The 27,931-nt window shown below is 42.4% G+C and overlaps 1 protein-coding gene across 1 annotated transcript in view, besides 1 other annotated feature; it reads left to right on the plus strand.

Moving 5' to 3' along the window:
• Nucleotides 3,211–3,938: an enhancer, noted in NCBI's record as "H3K4me1 hESC enhancer chr16:24267404-24268131 (GRCh37/hg19 assembly coordinates)". NCBI's record gives its function as "activates a minimal SCP1, AML or CMV promoter by ChIP-STARR-seq in primed H9 embryonic stem cells {active_cell/tissue: H9 hESC(primed)}" and the evidence as "EXISTENCE:reporter gene assay evidence [ECO:0000049][PMID:30033119]".
• The window catches only part of CACNG3 (calcium voltage-gated channel auxiliary subunit gamma 3), a 106,078-nt gene continuing 81,609 nt past the window's right edge, over nucleotides 3,463–27,931 (plus strand). The window contains exon 1 of the mRNA NM_006539.4: nucleotides 3,463–4,093. Within this exon, the coding sequence (NP_006530.1) occupies nucleotides 3,883–4,093 (211 nt within the window). The 5' untranslated portion in view covers nucleotides 3,463–3,882. The remainder of the gene's footprint in view (nucleotides 4,094–27,931) is intronic.

The following is a 27,931-nucleotide window of genomic DNA, read 5'->3' on the forward strand; positions in this document are numbered from 1 at the left end:
TGGGGGATGGGAATCATATCTTTGTATTCTCCAAGGTGCTGAGCACATAGGGGAATGCCTTGCACATAGTAGGCACTCGAAAAGCATCTGTTGAATTGAAGCAACTGAGAGTACTCCTTCCTAAATGACACAACCATTTACAGGGATCACTGACCCCTCCAGATGTTATGAGAAGATGGACAGGAAAAAGCATAAATAGATACACCGTGCCAACTACTTCACTAGCTGACAGCCCAATAGAAGAAAACAAAAGTCTTAATAAGAGAATCAGACATCAGTTGCAAGATGTCTGAATGTCTCCTAGTCTTCTGCCAGATAAGTGGGATCAGAAAGGGCTATTAGTAGACAAGAGTCTAGCTCCAGCCCGCCCTGGAGAGAGCTCTGAATCTCTTGGGTCCCTCATTGATCTGTTGAAAGAGCCCTCTAGTGGTGAAAATGAGGAACGATCTCTAGCCTTACAAGCAGATTCTACGCGCCCAGGTCCACACACCTACACATTCAATTGAATGAAAGGATGAGGTCACCCCCTAGTAAGTTGGGAGGCATGATAGGGAACAAACTGCGGCCTCCCTGCCTCCACACTCCCACTCCGTTCAGTTGTTCTGACTTGCTCCACATGCAGGCTCGGGACTTCCCACAGTGATCAGGTTGGCCCTGGACAGCAATTCCAAAGAATGAGCCTGCCTCACCAAGTCAGAGGCTCAGGACAAAGCTCCAGTTTTATCACATGTATCCCTTTCTCTTATTCAGCAAAACTGGGTGCATCCTGACCCATAATTGTTACCTTCATCTACCTGAGCTCCTGATCCTTTTCCCCCAACTATCCTTCTGCTAGGCTCCTGGGCACCATACTCTGCTTGTCTGCGCTTCTGTTGTAGAGCTAAGTGGGTGGAGATGAAGATGCTGCTGTTCCACTGTGGGTCTGGTAAATGGAGAGATTGGGGCATACTGTCCCTTAGCCCGAAGCTCACTCACCTTTCATCAACATGGTCCTTCTTTGAAAGAAGACCTTTCTCACTTCTATCCAAGCAAGAGAAGAATCAAACAGATCCTGAAATGACTGCTTTGATCATTAGTAATTATTTCATCTTATTTACCTTTCTGAGAGTGGGGAGAGAAATTTTTGCTAACTGAATTAATCCCTCCCAAGAAATACCAACCTCACCTCCATGTTACATATGGCTTTCCCTTAAAAAAGAAAGGTAATAACAATCAAGGCAGGATATTTTTATTAAGATGCAAATTTTCATTTCAGGAAAGAAAATGACACTAAGAAACTTGTAGGGGCCCTCGTGTATCCTCTCCCTACTATCTTCTGTCATTCTTCTGGAGTACGGCTGTGGTGCTGGCCCCAAGTTTATCCATTCCATTGTGGATTATGTGGCAAGATTTCAGTATTTCTACCTCCTGTCCATAAATCAGTGTTTTTGAACCACGACACATGCATATGCAACTAAATGCTCATAGGTATACACACCTACATATTCAAATCTATACTATACCTACACACGTGCATGCATACACATACATGTGCAAATATGTATGCATATGCATAGCAAAAATGCTAGGCATTTGCAGCAAATATGTTCACATGGTCCATAACACTGTCTGCAGGTACAAACATACATTTACATACTTGCTTTACTTCTATGACGGATTCACAGGCATTCAGAATTTATAACTAAACTGAACATAGCACAGGTGAGCATTCAAACACAATCACTCCACAGCTATATATTCAAACTTCCTCCTGCACATGAGTATTTATCTAACACCAAGAATAAAGTCTTCAGTCTTAACACCAAAATGAAAGTAGCAAAGTCACCAAGAAGTTGTGAGCTGCATTTGCGAACCCTTCAATATATTCCTGCTACCCAGTCACCTGAATAGAAGTTCCCAGGCAGCCAGAGATGGCACCAGGGGAGTATGTTTGTCTGCGATTACCTCCCGTTATATTTCTGTCCAGCTAAATAACATTCAAACATGACAGTTGGTTGCGGACACATCTCAGGAACTGTGGAAACAACCCAAGCAACCTCATTTCCAACTATCTGACCTCTGGATATCAGTCCCAGGATGCCATAAGAAAAAAAATAATAAGGGCATTTCTGTGGGCTGTTTCTAGTCAACTCGGTGTGTGCCCATGCATATGCCGGAATACATAGTAATAAAAAGCTGGTTAAATGCTGGTCCTTTGCAATACTGGCTATTTCCAAGGAAGAGAGCTTTCAGGTGTGCAATGCCATTTGCCCTTTGGACTAACAAGCAAAGCAGACCTAACTTCACCTGCTTCATGGTCTCACTTAGATAACAATGTTAACAAATGATATCTCAGAGACCTTTGAACAAAATCTGACATTTTCAGTGACTCTCCCACCATGAATCCATCACCCCCTTCGATGTAGATATGTTAAAATGTATAAAAGGCATATTCAAAGGCCAAAATCTTATAGTCTTTTGCCCAAGGTCCCTAATATGTGTATGACAGAGTCTATGTATATTTAGCTTCTTCCATCTTTTAGGAATACATGATCATGTATATATGAACAGTTCCGGGTCTGATCTGAGCGGGTTGTCTTCGGTGTAAACCAGAGCTCCAGAGAAAGGAGGGTAGACATATTGGTTTGTTTGCTGGGGAACCAAATTGAGACAGACTCTACACAGATGTGATTGTGACAACACTTTTTGCCCGCCTAAGCGAGCCATAGAGCCGTCTCCAGAGCTGCCGGTGCCTTTAAGAAGACTCGGTCTTTCGGGTCTTCTTTTTCCCCAATGGGCTCCAGTGGTGCCCGCAGCAAAAGGCAAACTTGCCTGGCTCATGGGGTGAAAGGGAGGATTGAAGAATGCCGCGTTGGGTGGGTGCTGAGGGAGCGCCAGAGTGCGCTACGGGCTTCGCTCCCCTTCCCCTTTCCTTAACCCTTCCTAGAGCGGAGGAACCGGGTCGTGCTGCAGCGCCCAGGAGCCAGGGCGCTGACTGTCCTCGGCTCCAGAAACTTTGCGCGGAGAGTGGGCTTGACTGGGCAGAGCCGAGCCGGCTGGCTGACCCGGGAAGGAACGGGGGAAGGGCGGGGTGAGGGAAGAAAGACCCTTTAGCACCCCGGGTTTCTAGCCCGGGCGGCGGTGTGCAGCTGCATGAGGGAGCTGTCCCTTCGGCACCACGGACCTTAAAGCCTAGGCGTTAAGACGACGGAGGCGGGGCAACAGGCGGGGAGCTGTCCCTTCAGCACCACGGACCTTGGCGCCCCCAGGGAAACCAGCCGGCCCCCGCCCCAGGACTCTGTCTTTTCTCCAGTTTGAGCGGGGGTGTCGGGAGCAGGCGGAGAGCTTTCCTGCGAGGCTGTGGAAGCAGTGAACACTCTTCTCAGCGGCTCGCCTCCCAGCAGTGCTATTTTTTGCCATCCGCCCTCACCCCCAGCACACGCGCTCGCACACACACGCACGCACGCACACACACACACACACACACTCACACAGAGACCTCTCTGGGTTTCTTTGCCTTGAGTCTCCCGGGGCTGTGAGAAGCCAGGCGCATCTCAAACCGAGCTGGCAGCTCCAGGCTCCGGAGCCATGCCCTGCACGGACCCTCGTCTTTACCACGCTCCTGAGGAATGAAAGGAACCCAGGGACCCTCAGAAGGCAGCAGTGATGCGGACCAACCCCCCGGAGCCTGCACCCTTCCGAGGGCCATAGGCGACCCAGGGAACTGGAGAGAGCTCCAGAAAGGAAATCCCAGCTTTCCCAAAGTCCCTGTGGATGCTGACAAAAGGAGACCTGAATTTTTGGAAGAGCCTGTACTAGGTTACCCGGCTGCAGAGTGATTTTCCCCTCCGGCACTGACTCTCCCCCTCCAACCCCCAGCCGTCCAGAGTACCATGAAGAATTATGAGGATGTGTGACAGAGGTATCCAGATGTTGATCACCACTGTAGGAGCCTTTGCCGCTTTTAGTTTAATGACCATTGCAGTGGGCACGGACTACTGGTTATATTCCAGAGGTGTGTGCAGGACTAAATCTACAAGTGATAATGAAACCAGCAGGAAGAATGAAGAAGTAATGACCCATTCGGGGCTGTGGAGGACCTGCTGCCTAGAAGGTATTTACAATTTCCTCTCAATAGCTCTGAATAATCCAGTTCTGATATTCTGGTGGGTGTTTGGAGGAGATGGAAATGGTGATAAGGAAAGAAGAGAAGTTCAAATTATTGCTGAGAATGTGCAGGTGCCCAGACTCTGTTAACAGCAAGACTGACGCCATGTGGGTTAAAGGGGTTGGGTCTTGTTGATTGTTTTTAGTATAAGCTTCATGAGATGAGATTTTTGTCACACTCTAGGCAGCTTCTGCAGTTTAGAAAAGTCTTCAAATCCAAAATCCCTAGGCATATTGTCAACTGCTTGGATCTCTGGCTTGAGATGGGGTCTTTAACCCTGCTTAAATTGGATTTCGAAGGGAGGGGGAGGGAAGGGAGGAGAAGGGACAAGAGGAAAGAAGTGAGGGGGGAGAGAGAGAGAGAGAGAGAGAGAGAGAGAGAGAGAGAGAGAGAGAGAGAGAGAGAGAGATCCTGACCCGGTCTGGCACATTCTGAGCTATTTCATTATTTCTCAACATAGACTTATCAGTTTCTCCTGAGTTTGCTCTAACTAGATATTGTCATGAACTTCCACTGCCAATCAGTAACAGGGTAACATATGTAAACCCCTACTCCCACCCACACCCTATGCACACATTTTAAGAAAAAATCCTTATTGATACATGTTTTATTAGTTTGGATCACAACAAAACTGAAGTCTTGGTATTTTGTATCCACCTGTCTTCATTCCTAAATCATTCCCAAACCCCTAAAAAGGTATTTCCATGACATTTACAAAAGACTGATTCTCCAAGAATTGCAGTTCGTCATTTCTAGTTCTAAAAATTAGGGAGTAGTTATAACTTATAATGAAGAAGAAAGAGCAATTTAAAAATATAAAGCCCTTTTGTAGCCTATCACACTATTAAACTTGCTTTCACCACACCAGAAGTCACTCTCAGCACCAGTAGGCAATGCTTGGATATCACTGGGAGTAAATAGAAAGATAAGGAAGAAAATCAAAGCTCTTTGGAGCCTATGTGCCTGAGGGAAGTCACTGGATTAGAGGGGCAGTAGGGGTTTTCTTAGGCTTCCGAGAAATCTGTGAAGCTTGTCACAGTGGTGGGCAAGGAAATCTGCGTTTCCTGTGTGGTCCCCTCCCCTGCTTGCCATTGGTTCTTCACACTGCATTTTCACTGGCTGGCATTTGTCAGGGCTTCTTGAGAACTTGCATTTATGTAAATCGCTTGGGAAATCATGCTATGACATCACTTGCCAGTGTAATATTGCATCATTCTCTGGCCTTTTTCCCATGTCCTGACACTTTGAACAACTGCTCTCCTGACCGTAGCGCTACTACAATTGATTCTGTTTCTAACACAAATTTGCAACTGGTGGGAAGCCCAGGTAGGAAAGGGCTACCTTTAATGCAGCAAGGATCATGTGAAGTCAGAAGACCTGGGTAATGCTGCAAAGTATCGCTGTGGCCTTGGTTAAGACATTTACCCTCTCCAACTCTCAGTTTATTCATCTGGGAAATGATACGTTTGGATTAGGTGGTCTTGAATTAACATTATCTAAAGCTTATACTGTATTCAATATACTGACAGAAATTCTAGAATAATTATTTCCTAAACAATGACAAAAGTTGGATATTTGTGAGCATTTGTGATTGGGTATGGTGAAGTCATTTACCTCAGGGAAATTCCATATTTCCCTTTCTTATATTGGCTATAAGGAATTGAATTATCTTTTGTAAAACTGATTTGGTGGATGTTGCGATATCTACATGGTTCTAGAGATGGCATAGAAGTTCTAAGGTTCCTCCAAGCCAAAAATGGCACATATGTATACAGTGCTTTAGCCATTTCCAATTCTTCTGCCTCTGGGAATCAAACCTGAGAATGCACAATTAAAAATGAAGTTTGACGTTCCTCATTATGATCTATGAAAAAAATATATATCTATAAGAGCAGAGGTAGGACCTAAAATTTCTAAACACTTGCTAAGAATTTCTCAACTGATGATTTCTCTTTTTTCCAACATCAAGTCCTACACCCACAGTTTGTACAAGGAATTGAAACCCCAGCCAGGCATTCTGTAGGCTTAGTGGGAGAAGTGAGAAATTGAATCAAGAAGGAATTGGATGAATTGAAGACATAACCTTGGGCAGGTGAATTCTATTGAGAAAATGTGTTGCAGTCCCCATACAACTTGGCCTGGCTTTTTTTGTTGTTGTTCACTTTTTTGAAGTATTAAATACAGTAAGATGCACAAATCACAATGAATCACAATAAAATATTAGCTATGGCTGCACCCATGTAATTAACACCTAGGTGGGTCCTGGCTGAAATTTGAAGCCAAGATGTGTACTAAACACATCAAGTGTTTGGGGAATTTGCAGAAGCCTCTGATTTCTGCATGGGAAGTCACATGCAGTTGGTAGCATCCATCCCAGGCATTTCCATCCTTTGCTAGAATGAAGATGAACAGTCCTTTCCCATTCAGTATTTCTTACCTACACCTGAGCCTCAAAATCCTCATTTTCTGGTCCTTTAAGTGTCAAATGAAAACTGGGGGTTTTCGTAGCTCCATTTTCTTAGAGGTCAAATTAGAAATGTTTGTTCTTCTGTGCTTTTTTAAAGAGCCATGAGACAATGTGATTATTTTATCCAAAAGAAGAGAATGCCAAGGAGAACATGACAGCTGTCTGCAAATATCTGAAGGGCTGTCATATGAAAGAGAGATTTGAGATGTTCTGTGTGGCCTCAAGGAGGTAGAAGTAGGAGCTAGAGGAAACCAGGTTTTACCTCAATATAAATAACTATCCAATGTGGAATGGGAAGCTTTGGCAGGTGATGGGTCTTCCAACACCAAAAATATTCAAGAATAAGCAAACTACATCGTTTCCCAACTTTGCTGGTCATCAGATTCTCATGAGGAACTTTTAAAAAATTAGATTATCAGGGGCTCCACAACTAGATTCCCTGCTTCCATAGGTCTGAGGTAGACCAGGAAAATCTGAGTTTTCTAAAGGTGCTCCAAGCAATTATGATGTTAAAGCCAACATGTATTGGTATTTGCACTGGTATTGACTATGTGTTTTAAGGATGATCCCATCACTCAAGGAGGAGAAGGATGTTTCCAGTTTTCATTTCTGTAGGTAAGTTATATCCTTCTCCTCCTTGAGTGACATGATCAGCCAAACCAAGTTTACCTTGTAGCTGAATTTGGCCCATGGGCTGCCAGTTTTGAGCCTTGTAAATTACCTAAATGGCATTTTTAATCCAAATTTCTGATATTTTTATATTTGACTCCTGAATTACTCTTTAATAGTCAATAATCACTTTTTCAACCCTTAAAAAATACCTAGGAAAAAATAAGCTAACCTACCAGAATATCCCTTACATTTAGCACTTACTATGTGCTCAGGCTGTTCGAAGAATTTTGAAAAATTAACTCTTTCATCTTCAAAGCAGCTCAGTTGTGTAGGTACTATTATTACCCTCATTTTACAGATGAGGAAACTGAGCCCTGGGGGATTTACATAACTTGCCCAAGGTCACACACCTAAACTCAGCAGGCAATACTTAACCTTAGTCGTGCTGCCTCTCTGAGTATTTGCTAGAAAACATTAATTCATGCTTTGGTGGGTAGCCTGCTACTGGTACAAACATTAGTTTGTGAAAATGCCCAGGCACATGGGTTTTTCCATTCAGAAGTTTCAGATCTCAGAGCACTCACTGTGCCTGTGCAGCATCAGCAGGGATGCAGGAGACACCAGACACACACAAACTTAGAGGCAGCAAAGGACACGCTTTGCATGGAGAGACAATTGACCTGTGTAGAGACACCCACACTGGGAAGCCAACAAGAACGCCCAACTCATTAACTGGAAAGCACGGGAGGCATTCACAAAGTAGAGCCCTAACCTGCTGCGTGTTATCAATAGTGGCCTGTGAATTTGAATGAGAACGTGTTCAATATGTGACTCTCTCATTAAGAAAACCTCATGAAGTCCTGGAGACAATCAAAGCAATGTATTTAGATAGCAGAAAGACCACCAGTCTAGTAGTGAGGAACCCTAAGTGTTCATCCCATTTCCATAACAACAGTTATGTGAATGGTGAATGTTATTTTCCCTCTTTGGACCTTAGTTTACCCAAATCTAAAATGAGAAATTTAGATAAGATTAGAGTAACAAATCCAAATGTTTGTGTAGATGAGGCAGCTAATGTAAAGTATGAAACAAGCATTTCCCAATCCTCTTAGCTCAATTCTCAGCAGGTTTGGAGGCGGGTAACGGTAGATTTGAGAAGATGTATTGTAACTGAAACTCGGTCTCAGTGTGGGGCAATAGGGAGTGGTGAGGACTGTGGCAAACTGGAAAACACAAGCCTCATCTGAAGGATGACTACTACTTGGCTTGATTTGATTTTTACCTTGGAGAAATAGACACCAAGTGTGGCCCAATATTCCAAGTAAAGAAAAGCCAGATGTAAAATATCTTGATTTTTAAAATGCAGGCAACTCTTTCAACTTTTTAAGAATATGATATTAGCCAAACCAAATTTACCTTGTAGCTGAATTTGGTACATGGGCTGCCAGTTTTCAGCCTTGTAAATTACCTAAATAGCACTTTTAATATGAATTTCTGATGTTTTTATATTTGATTCCTGAATTACTCTTTATTAGTCAATAATCACTTTTTCAATTCATTAAAAAATACTTAGAAAAGAAAGCCCACTTATTTAGGATTTTAAAACAAGGAACTTAAAGTTATGGAGAAGAGGTTCAATAACTGATATTTCTGCTACAGATGGGCCAGGATGACATCAAACATCTCGCTGAAAAACTGGAGAAAAAAATTAGCCAGTCATTAGAAGTTCTCCCATATTTCCAAAACTCCAGATGGTTGACTTTTTCAGCCAGACGGGGTTTCAGCTTTATTTATGTTGTCTGAAAACCTTCAGGGAAGCTGCAAAGATGTGGTTGAGGATGGAGGTGAGGAAAAGACATAACATTTATTAACTATTCTGTATGTGCCAAGCTCTGTGCTAGGTGCTTTTGTACATGTTAACTCATACTTTTCATATCTCCTGTCTCCGCCCAAGTAGAATGTGGAATCTGTAAGGACAGGGATTATTGTCTTTGGGGCACTGCTCTACCCCTAAAACTTAGAAACAGTACCCAGTCATCACTTCCGCACCTGCAGTCCTAGATTTAATGCTGCACCCTCCCTCAGACATGGGTTCAGAATGTGCTGGAGTTCTCTTACTCTCTTCCCTACTCCTGACCTTCTCCCAGTTCCTTTTTCTGTATTCTTCCTCCTTGCCACTAAAGCCTGAGAGGCAGATGGAAGAGAGAAATGGGATGGAGTCTTAAGGCAGGATGGGAGGGAGTGACCCTGACTGCGTTTGAGGGTTGAGTCAGGATTGGGCAGGTGGTAGAGGTCAGAGTATGAACATGACTAATAGTCAGACAGAATGTGTCCATAGCGCCATACTGGTTGTTAAAATGTTAAAATACTTTCCTATGTCTTGATAAACAACAACTGGCCCAAGTCTTTCACCAACTCCCCACCACCACTGCACCTACCCTAGCCCTTACTGGGGCTGCTCAGATCCATTAGGTAAAGGGTGAAGACCTGGCCCCACAGATGTCATCGTGACCTTGCTCTGGCCCTACAAAACCATTCATTCTGATTGTCTGGTCTTGTGTCCCATTGGTTGTTACATATTTTAAATCTCATTCCCAGTCGTATCATCATCGGTGGAAAGAAACTTACTCCTCTTCTTTCTTCCTCAAACCCAATCTTCTACCTGACTGTGGGATTCCACCTACCTTAGGAAGTAGATGCCTTGAAAATACTTTCAGTTGTTTCAATCTCTGAAATTTTATCTTCTGGATTAGAATAAAGGCAAGTGACCTTCATTCCAAGGTTGGGTGACCAGTGTGGGTTATTTGTATGGATAACTAGTGTGTGTCAAGAAAAAAATAAAACAAGAACTTAGGCAAAAACATGACTGTGTTCTTTAAATGTTCACATAGAGCACAGTGAAACAAGCTTACCCAAGGGATCATCTGACCCTCAGGGGAAATGTAACTTTGATTGACTCAGCTTTTAGTACAGATTGAGGCCTGGTTGCTACAAAGTTAGATATTTACTTGTAGAAAACTGAGAAAATGCACATAATTTTTTTGTTCAGTAGATGTGCATGTGATTTTCATTCATTAGAGGAGATAACCCCAAATGTTGTGGATTTATTCTCTCCTCTCCTGAATATTATTCAGTTTTATATTACTTTAGTAATCTTATTTCAAAACCTTTTCACTGAAAAAAAAATAGAACATCCTCCTTTGAACTAGTTTTGTCATTCTGCTGGTTCCTCACTGCTGAATTGAACAAAACTTGACATGAGCTATGTATTTTAGGAGAATTATGTTTTTAATAATTTAACATTTCTTTGACATATGGAAGCATCATCCAATGAAAACAATGTTTCTGAGGTTAAACAGAACTGTAGAAAACCCCAAGGTTGTTTTAATTTTCTCCCATCTCATAACCCTGCCACAGCACACTTTTTCAATGTAGGAACAAATAGGGCTTTAATAAGTTAATGAAAGACCACAGAGAATATGGGATATAGCAGGGGCTTTGGGAGCAGGTGGACCTGGGGGCTTATGTGGATCCTGTTATTTACTGACTATGAGACCTTGAAAGTTACCTACCCTCTGAGTGCTAATTTACTTACCTGTGAAATGGGGAAATAAACATAGCAAGTGCCATCAACTGTTTCTGTTTTAATTCTTGTGTTTCCTTCATTTCTTCTTACCTCTAAATAACATGTTGACCATTAGTTCTTGATTTATGCATTTCTACACAAGATCCATTTGCTAAGACAAACAATAAGTTAGCTTTCTTATACAAGTTCTCTCCTTCCTCCCAATACTTGTAGTTCCTCAGTGAGGTACCTGTGGCTCCAAGAAGAATCATTCATAATGATTGAGTGCTGGATTGGACACTTGCTTAAGCAGCATGGCTGCTCATGTGCCCACCTCAGCAAGGGACTTGGAGGGAACAACAGAGCTAAGAGGAGGCATGGGATTGGAGTAGCTTGTTTGGAAAGGTGAAGTTCTGTGTGTGGATTGGATCTGGGAGTGGGCAGCTGAGCTGCCACCCTTGTGTTCATATCTCACCTGGGAGAGCAGCCCATTAACCAAGAAAACTCTAACCCGGCTGCACGATGCTTGTGAAGATGTTGCCCTATACGAGGCTGCCTGGCCGAGGGGTCGAGTAGGGGCTGAGAGTTAGCCCACGCTCCGCTCACCAAACCATGCACCTTGGTTCCGAACTGACTCTATCCAAAGGGAGGAGGGTGTGTAATAAATGTTCGCAGGGTACTGTATGGGTCAACTACAGTCTCAGCAACATGGGCTGTATGTTTTCAGTGGAAGGAGCCAGGCAGGATGGAAAAGACTAGACCAGAGTCAGAGATTCCACACCAGGAAAGGAAGTTGCAGTAGGAAGGTACCATAGGACCCTCCAATAACCAATGCATGTAACTCCACAAGACAGTCAGCACGCAGATCCCTGCTACACAGAGCGCCTGGCAATTGATGTTAGCCAGAGAAGCAGTGACAGCAAACAAGAAAGGTTTACAGCCTCGCCCAGCTAAGTGAAGTGGCATGTTGGCCTTTTCTTTCTTCCTGCTCCCTGCAGGAACATACATACAGAAGGTGCTAGAATCTAAACGAGGAAGGAGCAGGGATAGTGATTTGAATTCAACATGCAATTTGAAATGTTAGACAAAACTGGAAGTTTTAACAACCAAAAGTGACTGGGAAGTTATGAAATCTGCCTAAACTGTCAGTAAGAAAATGAAGGATTTGATATAACACAGTTGAAAGCCAAACTAAAACTGGTGCATGTTTATATCCCACTAAATTGAGACACATCAATAAACATAAATAATGTCACCATGCTTCATCTCAGAAATTTTAACAGTTGAAAACTCTGCAGGCCATGGTGGATCACATCTGTAATCCCAGCACTTTGAGAGGCCAAGGAAGGTGGATCACTTGAGCCCCAAAGTTTGAGACCAGCATGGGCAACATAGTGAGACCTCCATCTCTACAAAAAATACAAAAAAGTTAGCCAGGTGTGCTGGCATGCTCTTATAGTCCCAGCTACTCAGGAGGCTGAAGTGGGAGGATGATTAGAGCCCAGGAGATTGTAGTTGCAATGAGTTGAGATCATGCCACTGCACTCTAGCCTGGGTGACAGAGTGAGACTGTGTGAAAGAAAGAAAGAAAAAGAAAAGAAGCGAGAGAAGGAAGGAAGGAAGGGAGGAAGGAAGGAAGGAAAAAGAGAAGGAAGGAAGGAAAAGAAAGAAGGAAAGAAAGAAAAAGGAAAGAAAGAAAGAAAGAAAAAAGAAAGAAAGAAAAGAAAGAAGAAAGAAAGAAAAAGAAAGAAGAAAGAAGGAAGGAAGGAGAGAGAGAGAAAGAAAAAGAAAGAAGAAGGAAGGAAGGAGAGAGAGAGAGAAAGAGAAAGAAGGAAAGAAAAGAAAGAAAGAAAGAAAGAAGAAAGCAAGCTAGCTCACTCAGTGGTGTATATATATATTATGATGTGTAGCTATCTCTCAGGGTTTGACAAACTACAACTAGGCCAAATTCAGCCCATTGCCTGCTTCTGGACAGCCCATAGCTAAAAATATTTTGTACATTTTAAAATGGTTGAAAAATTAAGTAATATCCAATAATATTTCATGACAAATAAAAAAGATATAAAATTCAAATTCCAGGATCCATAATCCTAAATGTTGTCAATAAAAAATTTATAGAAACTTGTTTTATTTCTTGTCATTTATATTTCTATATAATATCCTCAATTTTGCTGCTTGGCCTGCAAAGCCTGAAATATTTACTATCTTGCCTTTTCCAGAAAAAGTAAAGTTTGCCAAACCCTGCTATATCTCACTGTAGAGACATGTAGGAATCTATAATAACACTCTATTTCTAGAAGGATTATTTGTTTTCCCAAGAGTTTTGAATTGCTTTTCTTTTTTCTTGCACCATCTGCCTTTATCACAGACCGTTCATGTAATCAGATATTCTTTCTTTCCCAGAGAATTCTCACATAGGTCTGATTTTCCCCCTCTCATGGTGTCCAGGAAAATGTAGCCCTTGTCCAGGTGCACAGGGAACAGTAACTGCTAGGGCTGACAAAAGAAGAAATCCTTGGGAGCCAGTGTTTCTACTGACAATAAAAAGAAAGGAACACTATAGATAAGTTTGACAGTAGACTCTGTAAGACACGGTTACTCGGTGGGTGACCCACCACAGGCAGCTGGTGTTGGGAGTTTAGGTACGAATACTGTGTCATTTAGCTCCATGGATGAGGTTCAGTATGCTCATGAAACTTCATGAAAGATACATGAATGGGCACTTCTATGAAAGAATCTCATACTCCAAAATGTTACAAATCACAAAGAGAGAGCTTAGAAGTGAAACTGAGGGTGACACTTAGGGTCATCCAAACATAGATGGTAATCAAAGGTATGACTGTACACAAGAAATGCCAGAAAAACACAAGGAAGAAAAAGAGGGAAAACGATACCCTAAGTAGCACTAACATTGATGGACAAAGAACAGAGGAGCCAGTGAGACTCTGGGAAAGCAGAGATAAAGGAGGAGAAGGAGAATTCAGGATTTGACTAGCGTTTTGTGGGTCTGCTGAAGCTTTTTCTAAAATGGTGCAGATGAATGACAATGTCTACTACTAGAAGCCCTCCAGCCTAAGAGAGCTCTCTGCAAGGCAGGAACCCCACCTGTGGCCTGCCTCCTGGATTTGCATGAGGTGGCTCACTTCCAGGGCAAGTCTGCCCTTCTTCCTGGGATCAGTCAGCAGGTGAAATTGTGTTATGGATCCTGGGAGCTGTTTCCAAGGAAGCTGGAGAGAGAGAGGATGGGCCGTGAGAACCCCAGAAACAGGTGCCAAGGAACTAGGGAAATAATTATTTTTAATTTCTTTTTTTTTTTTTTTTGAGATGGAGTCTCGCTCTATCGCCCAGGCTGGAGTGCGGTGGCACGATCTCGGCTTAGTACAACCTCTGCCTCCTGGGTTCACGCCATTCTCCTGCCTCAGCCTCCCGAGTAGCTGGGACTACAGGAGCCCGCCACCACACCTGGCTAATTTTTTATATTTTTAGTAAAGACGGGGTTTCACCGTGTTAGCCAGGACAGTCTCGATCTCCTGATCTTGTGATCCGCCCGCCTTGGCCTCTCAAAGTGCTGGGATTACAGGTTTGAGCCACCGCACCTGGCCTATTTTTAATTTCTTAATTTTTACTTTCTAAAATTGTTTTGAGACAGGGTCTTGCTCTATTGCCCAGGCTGAAGTTCAGTGGTGCAATCAGAGCTCACTGCGGCCTCGACCTCCTGGGCTCAAGGGATCCTCCCACCACAGTCCCATGAGTAGCTGCGACTACAGGCACATGCCACCATGCCCAGCTATTTTTAAAATTTTTTGTAGAGATGGGGTCTTGCTATGCAGGCCAGGATGGTCTTCAACTCATGGGCTGAAGCAATTCTCCCACCGTGGCCTCCCAAAGTTCTGTGATTACAGGTTTAAACCACCGTGCCCCACCTAGAAAAAAATAATTAATAGCTAATACTTAACAAACACCTTCTATGTGCCTAGCAATGATTATTGTGGTAGATTGTGCATTCATTTGTTTGTTTGTTTTTGAGGCAGAGTCTCGCTCTGTTGCCCAGGCTGGAGTGCAATGATGTGATCTTGGCTCACTGCAACCTCCGCCTCCCGAGATCAAGTGATTCTCCTGCCTCAGCCACCCAAGTAGCTGGGACTACAGATGTGGGCCACCATGTCAAGCTAATTTTTTGTATTTTTAGTAGAGACAGGGTTTCTCCATGTTGACCAGGCTGGTCTCGAACTCCTGGCCTCAAATAATCTGCCCACCTTGGCCTCCCAGAGTGCTGGGATTACAGCCGTGAGCTACCGTGCCCGGCCTCATATCTGGGCCAGCCCCTGAGCATTTATTCATTTATTTAACAGACACACGCTAGATGCCAGGCACTGTTCTAAGGATGCACTTTACAATTATTATTTAACCCTCCTGATTTATTTGAGAGATAGATACTACTATTACCTCCATTTTATAAAATGCACATAGTTAGTAAATGCTGGGCTGGGATTTAAACTGTACCTTCTTCTGTTTCTCATTAACTGTATTCTGGGCCCTTGGATAAAACCTTAGCATAAACAGGCTAAATTGAGCCTCATGATAGCCCTGTCTACTACTAGTTGTCTGCTCTACCAGCAAGGAGACAGAGGCTCAGAGAGGTAAAGTAGCTTGCACAAGATCACTCTGCTAGGTGGTGACAGGGCTGGGATATAAACCACAGTCTCACCCTAATCATCACACCACACTGCCTTAATTTAAGGACCTGGGCTGGTGGGTTGGGTCTCCTCCAACCTGCTCAATCCTGTGTCAAGGAGAGCTCAGCATCAGTCAGAGGCTCTGAACCATTCAACCACTGGAGATATTGTGAAAAATAATTCACCCAGTGTCTGCCAATTCTGATACCAAATCCAGAAAGCAAGGTCAAGGAAAATAAATGGTAAAGCCAATAAAATTGAGACATCGTAGCACTAGGCTGTGAAGAAATACCACCTCTGGAGATCAAATGTAAATTTTTCTTTAAAAAAGTAACACTAATGATTTGGAAGTGAGAAGAACAGGGAGTCTGATGGGATGCAGGTGAACAAATGATTTGAGATTCTCACATCTTCTACGCTGGAGTTGGGGTGTTCGCCAATGGGGGGATGGCATCAGGTCCATGGCTGTTCCACTTCCTGAGGAGTAAACTTGAGCATGTTATTTATTTGACTTCTTTGGGTTTTAAACTCTGCGTCAGGCACGAGTCAACCCTACCCTCATCCTCAACTCCAGGTTTTGGGCTTGGATGACTCTGTAACATAGACGATGCGAATCTGCAGCCAGGTTCTCATGCAGCACTCAGATGGCCAAAAACGTCTTTGAAAGGCACCAGACTTGGAATAGACAAATGTACCAGCAGGCCTGGTTCTTACTGGCCTTGGGTTTGAATGGGTCAGGAATGGGCAGCTAGGCTAAGATTTGGGCAGGCAAGACCCAACACCATCTATCCACCTTTTAGCCTGCAGGTTGTAGGAAATGTTATCAAATATCTTATTGCCACCCAAAAAACTATCCGCCACAACTCCCTGAACCACCAGCCTAGAACCACAACCTGTTGTACAGCAGATCTTCAATAAATACACCTTGAATTTTTTTCCAGAAGAAAGATAATTCAATTACCTTAAGCTTTTCCTAGTGAACTTATACTAATCCCTAACAATTACTGTTTTACTCTTAGGTGCTTACAAATTACCCTATTAATAATATCTCCTATAATTCCAGCCTCAATTGTTTACAATTCAGCAGCCTGTAGTTTGAGAGAGTCTAGCTCTCCAGTCTTGAAAATCTCAGCCGAGTGCGGTGGCTCACACCTGTGATCCCAGCAGTTTGGGAGGTCAAGGTGGGTGGATCGCTTCAGGAGTTCGAGACCAGCCTGGCCAACATGGTGAAACACTGTCTCTACTAAAAATAGAAAAATTAGCCCAGTGTGGTGGTGGGCACCTGTAATCCCAGCTACTCGGGAGGCTGAGGTGGTAGAATAGCTTAAACCTGGGAGGTGGAGGTTTCAGGGAGCTGAGATAGCACCATTGCACTCCAGCCTGGGCAACAGAGAGAGACTCCATCTCAAAAAAAAAAAAAAAAAAAAAGAGAAAGAAGAAAGAAAGAAAAAGAAAGAAAGAAAGAAAGAGAAAGAAAGGAGAAAGAAAGACAAAAGAAAATCTGTGTTATTTGTTCATTTGTTGTTTTTTTTTTTCCATTTTATCCACGAAGATTATCCAGAGTAGTTTAACAGTCTCATTTTAAAATTCCCTCAATATCCTGGGTGCAAACTGAGGAAAAGAAAAAAGAAAATATATGTTGTATGGACATATTGTGCACAAATCCCACAGACACTGTTTCTATTCCTTTTGGCTAAGAGTCTATATATACATTTGGTCACCTGCACATTTAGGAAGTGGAATTTCCACCACTCTGTATTGTGTACCATATGCTGTTTGACATCATGCATAGCTGCCCTGGAATACAATAATACTTACCTGTTAAATTAAACTGATCCAAAAAACCATGTTGAGGTTAACTGTTGAGGTGCCTTCCATCACCTCATTCTACTGTCACCTGTAGAAATTGGTTTTGGCAGACAGCAGTTAATAAAGATGTATATTTACAAATCATTTTGACCCTTTGCAAATTACAGGAGAGCAGAACCAATTAGCTGTTTATTAGCTTAACGTGCCCTAAAATATGTATTACCAAGTAAGTCTTGATTTTTCAAAATGTTACTTTTCACCAAAGATGAATCTGGCAGGCAATCAAAATGCTCTGGGTGTTTGGAGAAAAATAGAAAGATCAAATCAAGAGGCAATGATGTTAATCTGAGCCAGAGGTCTGCTGCGCAGCATAATAATTGCTCTTTTCTGCTTTTTCACTCTTTGGTGAGTGATGGCTTAGCTCCTGAGCAGTTGGGAGATGGCAGGGGTTGGGTTTCAAGAGATAATAAGGTCTGGACCAAGGAAATCAGGTCTGGACCACCCCAGGATGATTTTCCAGTTAGAATCCCTGGGGCTCAGCTGCAGTGACAGCTCACTGGCTTAAGAAAGAGATAATCTTAGCATAGCACAATGGACTTCTTCCAAATTACTGTAAAGCAGAGAAGGTGTGTTGGGGTGGGTGGGGATGAAATTGTAAATGGTGTGGTCAAGGTAGGCTTCTCTGAGAAGGTGACATTTAACCCAAAATATGAAGCAGGTGAGAGGCAAAGCCAAGTGGCTCACTGGGGGATGGGCATTCCAGGCAGATGGATCAGCAAGCGCAAAGGCTTGAAGCGGGGAATGTGCCTGGAGTGTTCAAGAAAGCCAGGGTGGCTGAAATGGGGGAGTGAGGAGGAGAGAAGCAGATCAGTTTAGGATAGTGCAGGCCGGGTCATGTAGAGCCCTGAAGGGAATTGTAAGGACTTTGACTCTTAATAAACTGGAAGCCTCTGAAGGATTTTGAGCCCAAGAATGGCTCTTGAATTCACCATGGCTGAGTCTTCTTCTCAACTGCACTATTTGCTGTTTGACAGGAAGAGAACTCTGTCCCTTGACCTCCCTTGTTCTCTCAGACAAGTACTTTAGCTCTAGGCTTTTAACACTTTTGCCTCGCCCTTCTCTATGACTCGGTGCAGTGAAGTAGCACCTCATTAGCACTGTCTTCCTTCTTTCACTGAAGACAAGTCCGTGGTCCCTTATTATTTTTCAGTATTTCATTTCTCATTGTGGAAAAATAGGTTTTTTTAAATGACGTTGATGTAGAAGTTTCTAGTCCTTACCAAATCTTGCAAAGCTCCTAGAATCATCATTCTTGCTGGGCAGCCCCTTCCCAACTCACAGATTCTCACCTTTCATTGGCTCAGGCTGGTATTTACTCCTGTGCAGCTTCCCCTTCTCAGCCTGGAGATCCAACAAGAGATGCAAAGTGAGTGATTTGAATTTAGGGGGACCTACAGCCTGGGTTCCCTGCACCAAATGTACTTATTGAGCCGCTACTATGTGCTAGACCCTGTGTTGGGTCCTGAGGATTTAGCAGAAAATAAGGCAGACATGGTTCCTGTCTTTGGTAAGCTCACAACTGTGTAGGAAAGACGCTGATAGAGTGCACCCAGGTGAGCAGGGCATGGGGCTCCTGTATGTGGCAGAGAGTATCGGTCCTAGAACAGTCATGGCAGGGGTGTCACAGAAGTGTTCTCTTAGGGTTTGTGAGTCCCCCAAGGTGCCCCTGGTTCACAGTAGGTGCTCAAAACACATTTGCCAAACACACAAAAAGGCTTGTGCAGCATACACAGGGGAGAACTGACCTCTTCAAGTACTCGGGGCTGGAATAGAAATGAGCTCAGAGATACTTGTTTCTTATCCTTAAGCAGAGGGGAAAGAGAACATGGAAATAGCCTACCCCTAGAAATCCATGAAGACACATTGAGTGATTATACATTTTCTCTCTCTCTTTTTTTTTTAATCTTTAACTTTAAAAAAAAAAGAAAGAAATCCTGGATATTTTATTGTTATTATATTCTTTCGAGTGGTATATTTTTCCTATTGTATTTTGTTAATTAAAACACTTTTTATAATATGAAAGTAATGCAAAAACATGTTCTCAATATAAATGTTTAAAACAAAGTACACAAGACAAGGTTTCCTTTGTACCCTCACTATAGACTCATCTCCTTTCCTCAGAATGACAGCTACTTCTGGTTTGGTAAATAGCCAATAAATCTCTCTCTTTTTTTTTTCCTCTACCAAATCAAAGAGATTAGGGAGCATACATTTTTTCTTTCAGTTCAAATTCTTCATAAGTCACTCCACAACTTTTTAACAATTATCTTACAATTTATTAGACATTTAATCATGCACATTATTTTATAATATTTTATTTTCATTTTTTGTCATGTAAGTTGAATTTATTCAATTTTTTCAACTTGCCATTTATTTTTCAGTTAACAAAGTGTCCTAGAGATCTTCCTACAATTATCTCACAATTTATTAAGACATTTAATCATGCACGTTATTTTACATTATTTTGTTTTTAATTTTTGTCATGTAAATTGAATTTATTAGATTTTTTTCAACTTGCCATTTATTTTTCATTTAATAAGGCATCCTGGAGATCTTTCTACATCAGTAGAGAAGTCCACTTTATTCTTTTTGGTGCCTATTTAGTACTTTGAAATATTCCATTATATAATTGCTTTTTTAAAATTTTATTTTAAGTTCAGGGGTACTTGTGCAGGTTTGTTATGAAGGTAAATTTGTGTCATGGGGGATGTGTTATACAGATTACTTCATCATCAGGTGTTAAGCCTAGTACCTTTTAGCTATTTTTCCTGATCTTCTCCCTTCTCCCACCCTCTACCCTCCAGTAGGCCCCAGTGTGTGTTGTTCCCCTCTATGTGTCCATGTGTTCTCATCATTTAGCTCCCACTTATCAGTGACAACATACAGTATATGGTTTCCTGTTCCTCATGCACATTATTTTAAACATTAAATCATATGGAAGGGCTTTTCATGAGAAGCATCCACGTCAGAGATACTGCTGTCTCCCCACCCTAAGTCCAATTGCTTTTTTAAACCATTTTTTATTCAGTCCTTCTGGTAGTTACATCCTTATCCCTACATAATATGTTCATCCCTCTATTTCTTGATTTATAATCTATTGACTTCCTGCCATGATAGGTGAGGATTTAGCAAACTCACTCCTCCCTCTGTATTGATTAGCTTTCTAATTTTTTAAAATAACGCACATCTTCATTTCCTCACCTTTCGTAGACTGTCTTAGCTTCCCATTTTATAGAATGAGAAAGTTCACATTCCTCACTTCCATCTACCCATGCCTGTAGCTGTATTTTTACTTTTTCATCATCAAGATTCACTCTGGTTGCATCCTATTCTGTAACTAGACCAATGTCTTCCATGCTTGGGCTACGGATCGATTCTGAAGTTTGAAAACCGATGAACCTTATTCTGATTATGTAGATAATGTTCATTGTGAAGCTGAGTCATTTTCTGAGATTACATTTTTCTCTTTGTGGTTTCAATGTCACAATCTCTGAGTCACTCCAAGAAAAATGTCCAAATGGAGTTGCCTAATACTTAACCAGTCCATCAAAATCATGCCATATATTTATTTGCATCACACTTGGGCTTTCTGGTACAGTTTTCATTTTTCCTGGCATTTCTGATGGACTCAAGGAGTTTTTTTAACAGATCATTTAAGAGCAAAATTGGGCTTTTTAAACACAAGCCCTGTATAGGAGGAAACACTTTTCTGGAAAAATAACTCCTCTTCCTTTTTTCCTGCCTCCTCAGTATAGTATAGCAGTTAAGAACTCAACCTCACCAGCTTGGCCAATATGGTGCAACCTCTTCTGTACTAAAAATACAAAAATTAGCCAGGCTTGGTGGTGCATGCCTGTAGTCCCAGCTACTCTGAAGGCTGAGGCAAGAGAATCGCTTGAACCTCGGAGGCGGAGGTTGCAGTGAGCTGAGATCACACCATTGCACTCCAGCCTGGGCGACAGTGCGAGACTCCATCTCAAAAAAAAAAAAAACAAAAAAAAAAAACTCAACCTCTACTACCAGATTGCTTGGGCTCAAATCTGAGATCAGCCACATATGGCTGTGCAACTCTGACACATTACTTAACCTCTCTGTGTCTGTTTCCTCACCTATAAAAAGGGGGGATTGTCATTATACCTACTCATAGGGTTGTTATGGGTACTTAATATTTGTTCAACTCTTAGAACAGTGCCTGGCACATGTAAGTACTAATTTGGTGTTGGTTATTACCATTTTCCTGGGATAAATAGATTGGACAGAATCTACTCATCTGCATTGCTCCACCAACAGCAGGGAATCACTCAGGTCATGGTTACCACTGCTCTGTTAGTCCCCCAGAATCTTTAGGAGCCTTAGGGAAGACTGAGGCAAAGCCAGTGATGCAGTTGATGGAGCCCCTACCATGGAACAAGATTTATGGCATATGATGACAAATCTTGGGCCTGACTTCATACTGGTTGATGAAGGTAGTCAAAACCTTAAGGAATAGATGTTCTAGAATATCCCCGAGATGAGCTACATCGGGGAGCCATTAGCACTTAAGTTAACAACAGCAAGCGCCTACTGAGTGCTCACATACATCATCTCACTTTGTCCTCCCAAGAGCCTCGTGGGACGTTAGACTCGTTTTATCAATGAGTAAATGGAACTCAGAGAAGTAATTGTCCCAAATTCTCGAGACAGTAAGTGGTAGAGGTAGAATACAAACTTAGGTATTTTAAATCGGAAAACCGCTGTCCTCAATCCTGATGTTATAGCTCAACATCCTCAAAGGGTGGTCTATTAATTCCTAGGATAAGAGGGGGACTTCCTAAGATCCTTTTAAGGGATTGGCAAGGTTGAAACTATTTCAGAATAATAATAAGATATGGCTGGGCAACGTGGTGCACATCTATAATCCCAGCTACTCAGGAAGCTGAAGTGAGAGGATTGCTTGAGCCCAGGAGTTTGAGACCAGCCTGGGCAATACAGCAAGACTCCATCTCCAAAAAAAAAAAGATATGATTTGCTTTTTTCAATGTGTTAAAATTTGCACTTATGAGGCAAAAACAATGGTAGGTAAAACTGTTGGAGCCTGACCACAAAGGAAGGCTGTGGCTCAGTACTCATTGTATTCATCACCACTCACTTGCAGGGGAAGAAAATGCTAGCCTCACTTAAAAATGTCCCTGATGAAGCCATAAAGAGGCATCAATTTTATTAAATCTCAGACCTTGAGTGCTAGATTTATACAGTCTGAGTAACCAAATGAGAACTATGCATTGAGTACCTCAGCCAGAGTATGCTAGTGGTCTCAAGCAAAGGCACTTATGCGACTGAGTTGCGAGCTGAACTAGCTGCTTTTTTCCATGAAACACCATATTTACTTGAAAGAATGACAGGTAAATTATGGTTATTCAGGCTTGGGTATTTGGCAGACATTTTCTCAAAAATGAGCTAAGTGAGCCTGTCACTTCAAAGAAAGCAACTGACAGTATTTGTTGCCAAGGATAAAAATTCAAGGTTTCAAGTGATAATTATGATTTTGGAAAACTTGTGTCCCTGTGAGCCAATGTGATTTGTTTTTACACTGTGTAATGAAATGTGCCAAATTTAGAAGACCTGCATAACTCAGTGAAACAATACTTTCCGAATGACCAATGAATGATGTTACAAAGTTATGCCTGGCTAAAAGACCCATTCAACGTGCAGGATTAGAAAAATGGATTTTCATGTAGTAGAGCATGAAAAGTTAATATGGTTTCAGATTCCACATTGCAACTAGCCTTTAAGGAACTACCACTTGTCGAGTTTTGGTGTAGTATCAAAGAATATTCACAGTTATTTCAAAAGCTATTCAAATACTGCTCTATTTGTCAAACTTGTGTGAGGCTAGGTTTTCTTCATAAACTTCAAGTCTAACAACAGTGGGCAACAGATCAAATGCAAAAGCAGATATAAGAATCTATCTCTCTTCTCTTGAGCCAGACATTAAAGAGATTTTCAAAAGCGTAAAAACAATTCTTCTCACTATTTTTTGTTCTGGAAAATATAGTTATTTTTATACAAATATTTATGTTAACATGCAATTGAATTTATCATTATTTTCAAATGAATTTTAAAATAACTATTTCACTATTTTAGGGGGGTTTTAATTTCTGATATAGGAAATATTAAATAGATACAACCCACATAAACAAAAGTTCAATAATTTGCAAAAGTGTAAAGGAGTCCTAAGACCAAAAAATTTGAGAGCCTCTGCTACAGCTGTATTTTAATTCTGTTGACTAACTTCATATAGTTGAGGAGAGAAACTAAAAGAGCTATTTCCATACTTTCATCAGAAGATTTCCTTCTAGTTCTGTCTTTTCTTCTCCAGTGGGAAATGAAACAGTCCCTTGGTGGGTTCTGGTATCTTTTTGACTTCTCTTTAGTTGCAGCTAAGCTAAGTCATTGTTCCACCATCACTGGGATGGAAGAGGCAACATGAGATTTCAGCAGGCACTGAAAAAGGTGTCTTTGATTAAAATGCAACCCTGCTGATATAAAGTTGGACAGAGCCTGGAGGATTCATAGCATCTTGTGTCTTTGTTCATGAAAACTGACAAAGCTTAGCCACCACTCCACAAAAAGTTGAGATCTGTGGTGATATTCTTCATATGTGAGATGAAGCAAAGTGCAAAAAAACTGAGATTTTTGACCAAGTTTTTGGTGGATTGGAATTTAAATGTATAAATTTTCCACCTTCTAACCTATAATTAAAGACACTGTGGGTGAGGATGGAGAATTTGGGAAATGGAAGGGTCTAGTGGGCAATCACTGAACAAACATTTATCTTGGCCAGTGCCAGGGCTTGGTTCTTGGAAATGGAGAAATGGGCACTTGAAGGGAGGCTGGATTATGTGGCCACGAATGTTTTTGTTTGTTGTTTGGCCAACCTCACATCCATTCCTCCTTTTTCTGGTCAAAGGAGGGGTTGCCATGTCACCCTGTCCTCAGTCCATGTGGTTTGGGTGGAACTGACTCCAGCCTAGCAGGACCAGCATATGACCTAGGAATGACCTTGAGGATTATCATTCGGCATCTGGAGTTTATACTAAGGCAGTAGCTCTCGACAGGAACATTTGGTAATGTCTGAGACACTTTTGGTTGGGGGATCAGGGAAGCACAACCAGATCTAGCAGGTGATATCAGGGACGCCGCTAAACCCCTTGCAATGCGCAGGACAGCCCCTACAACACAGCATTACCCAGTCCCTAATGTCAGGAGTACCGAGGTTGAGAATCCTGATCAAAAGGTAAAGGGAGCTGAGTGCGGTGGCTTACACCCGTGATCCCAGCACTTTGGGAGGCCGAGGTGCGCGGATCACTTGAGGTCAGGAGTTCGAGACCAGGCTGGCCGAAATGGTGAAACCCCGTCTCTACCAAAAATACAAAAATTGGCCAGGTGTAGTGGCACATGCCTGTAGTCCCAGCTACTCTACTCAGGAGGCTGAGGCAGGAGAATCGCTTGAACCCAGGATGCGGAGGTTACAGTGAGCAGAGATTGCACCACTGCACTCCAGTCTGGGTGACAGAGCAAGACTCCATCTCAAAAAAAAAAAAAAAAAAGTAAAGGGAAGCCATGAAAGAGTTTTAAGCAGAAGAGCAATAGGATCTAAATTGATGTATGTATGGTATTTGTTTGTTGTTGTTTACTTTTTATAAAATAGAGATGGAGATCTTACTATGTTGCCCAGGCTGGTCTCCAACTCCTTGGCTCAAGTGATCCTTCTGCCTTGGACTCCCAAAGTGCTGGGATTACAGACATGAGCCACAGCACCTAGCTAACTGATGACTTTAAACTGTGGTCAGGTCCCAGGTAGAAACAGATTTTTGAGACGTAAGAAGGGAGCAGGAGATAAGCCAGTGGGCTATTGCAATAACTTTAGAGAGAGAAGACCCTTGGAGTATGGAAGGTAGTATGATGTGGAAGGAGGTATGATCTGGGAAATGCACATTTGGAAATCATCAGTGGTAAAAGGCAGAATCTTGAATGTGAATAAGAGCTTCCAATAAGACTGTAAAAAATAAGAAAATAGGACCAAAGACAGAGCCTTGGGGGAACATCCATGCATAACAAGTAAAATAATAATAATATCTAACACTGGGCAGGGCACAGTGACTCACACCCGTAATCCCTGCATTCTGGGAGGCTAAGACAGGTGGATTACAAGGTCAAGAGATTGAGACCATCCTGGCCAACATGGTGAAATCCCATCTCTACTGAAAATACAAAAATTAGCTGGGTGTGGTGGCACATGCCTGTAGTCCCAGCTACTTGGGAGGCTGAGGCAGGAGAATTGCTTGAACCTGGGAGGTGGAGGTTGCAGTGAGCCGAGATTGCACCACTGCACTCCAGCCTGGCGACAGAGGGAGACTCTGTCTAAAAATAATAATAAATAAATAAATAAATAAAATCTAACACTGTTTGAGAGTTTATGTGCCAGCTTCTATGCTAAATAACTTACACGATTACATCTGACCCTTTTTAACAACCCTTCATATCTCCATTTCACAGATTAAAAACCTTAGGCACAGAGAGGTTAAGTAACTGGCCCAAGGTCACACATGGAGCTATTATCTGAGACAGGATTTGAACTCAAATGATATAACTCCATGGCTTTCCTTCTTATCTACCAAGCTGACTCCTTGAATGGAGAAAAATCTTCCAAAAGGAAAATTACCTCTTAAGAGCTGAAAGATGAGCAAAAGTTAGAGAGATGAAGGGATGGGTTGTTGTCCCGGGAAAAGGGAACAGCAAATACCAAGGTCTGGAGGCTAGATGGAGCATAAAGAGAGCCTAGGACAGAAGCCAAAACATACAGTAATGGCTGGAGCAGGAGTGGGCTGAGTGGGGAGAATGGCAAGACTGGAGAAGTAGACAGGGGCCGTGTCATGCAGATCTTTGGGAGGCACGTTAAGTAAGACTTTATTCTAGGGGAAACAGAAATTCTTTGGAAAGATTAAAATAGAAAATTAAAGATCTGACGTAATCAGGTTTTCATTTTTGAGGCTCATTCTGGCGGAAGTGTGGGACATGGACTGGGGAATGGAAAAGGAATAGTTTTATTTTTATTTTTCTTGAGACAGGGTCTCACTCTGTTGGCCGGGCTGGAGTGCAGTGGTGCAATCTCGGCTTACTGCAGCCTTGACTTCCTGGGCTTAGGTGATCCTCCCACCTCAGCCTCCTGAGTAGCTGGGACTACAGAGGTGCACCGCTACACCTGGCTAATTTTGTTTATTATTATTATTATTTTGTAGAGAGAGTATCTCACTATGCTGCCTAGGCTAGTCTTGAACTCCTGGGCTCAAGCAATCCTCCTGCCTCAGCCTCCCAGAGTGCTGGAACTACAAGGGTGACCCAGTTCGCCCAACTGAGGAATATTTGCAGACTGGTTAAGAGACATTAATGCAATAATCCCATAGCAATAATAGAATCCTATATAAGGGAGATGGACTCATTGGCCATCACTTTGGTAGATGCTTGAAAGCTGGAATCAACTTAATTTCCTGACTGTTGCATGTAAAGGTAAGAGAGAATGAGCTCAAGGCACATCTAGGTTTCTGCCTTTAACCTTTGGATGGACAGTGATCCCCTTTAGGATGAAAAGTTTAGTGATGGGGAGAGGGTGAGTCTGGTTTTAAAAGTGTTGAGTTTGCAGCTTCCTTTGTAACACTCAAGTGGAGGTGTTAAAAGGGCCGCTGAATGCACTGCCCAAGAACTCATGAGGGATATCTAGTCTAATTACTTCCATATATATGGAGCTATGCTTTTTTGATCAGGAAACAGTCAAACATGTACATTCCAACCACTAATTCTAACAGAGGCAACCGGTGAAAGGTCATTAGCTAAGGTTCCGTGTGACAGATGAACTGATGTTAAAAGTCTGAATGCAACACCAGGAGGTCACTGCCAGTCTAATTAGGCACAGATAGAGTTTATTGGGTCGTGGAAAGCCAGTTGTGTGTAACCGTCATTTCAGCCCTCTCTCCTTCCATTTCTGACTTGTCATCTGGTTTTAAGTGAACATTAAAGTTTCCTTTCATAAATGGTGACCTTTAGAATTTGAAATGATGGTTTCTGGCTAATTTCCATTCCAGCCCTGGGGCTGCTGCTTGAAGCTCTTGACTAGTTTCTAGCCCTGTGTTCTCAACCATAATTTGGAAAAGGGCAATGTTGTTTTCGTCCTTAAAACGCCCATCATTCGGATGAAGGATCGTCATTTCTAATTGTGCAACCACACACTGTTTGGGGATGAAAAATGTACTAGGTGCTGAGCTTATGCTAATAACAAGACCAGACCCAGCCAGGCGCAGTGGCTCATGCCTGTAATCCCATCACTTTGGGAGGCTGAGGTGGGTGGATCACTTGAGGTCAGGAGTTCGAGACCAGCCTGGCCAATATGGTGAAACCCTGTCTCTACTAAAAACACAAAAATTAGCTGGGCGTGGTGGTGCATGCCTGTAATCCCAGCTACTTGGGAGGCTGAAGCATGAAAATCACTTGAACCTGGGAGGCAGAGGTTGTAGTGAGCCGAGATCAAGATTGCACCACTGCACTCCAGCCTGGGTGAC

The sequence above is a fragment of the Homo sapiens genome, chromosome 16, assembly GCF_000001405.40.
Source record: "Homo sapiens chromosome 16, GRCh38.p14 Primary Assembly".
In the NCBI taxonomy this organism is placed as follows: domain Eukaryota; kingdom Metazoa; phylum Chordata; class Mammalia; order Primates; family Hominidae; genus Homo; species Homo sapiens.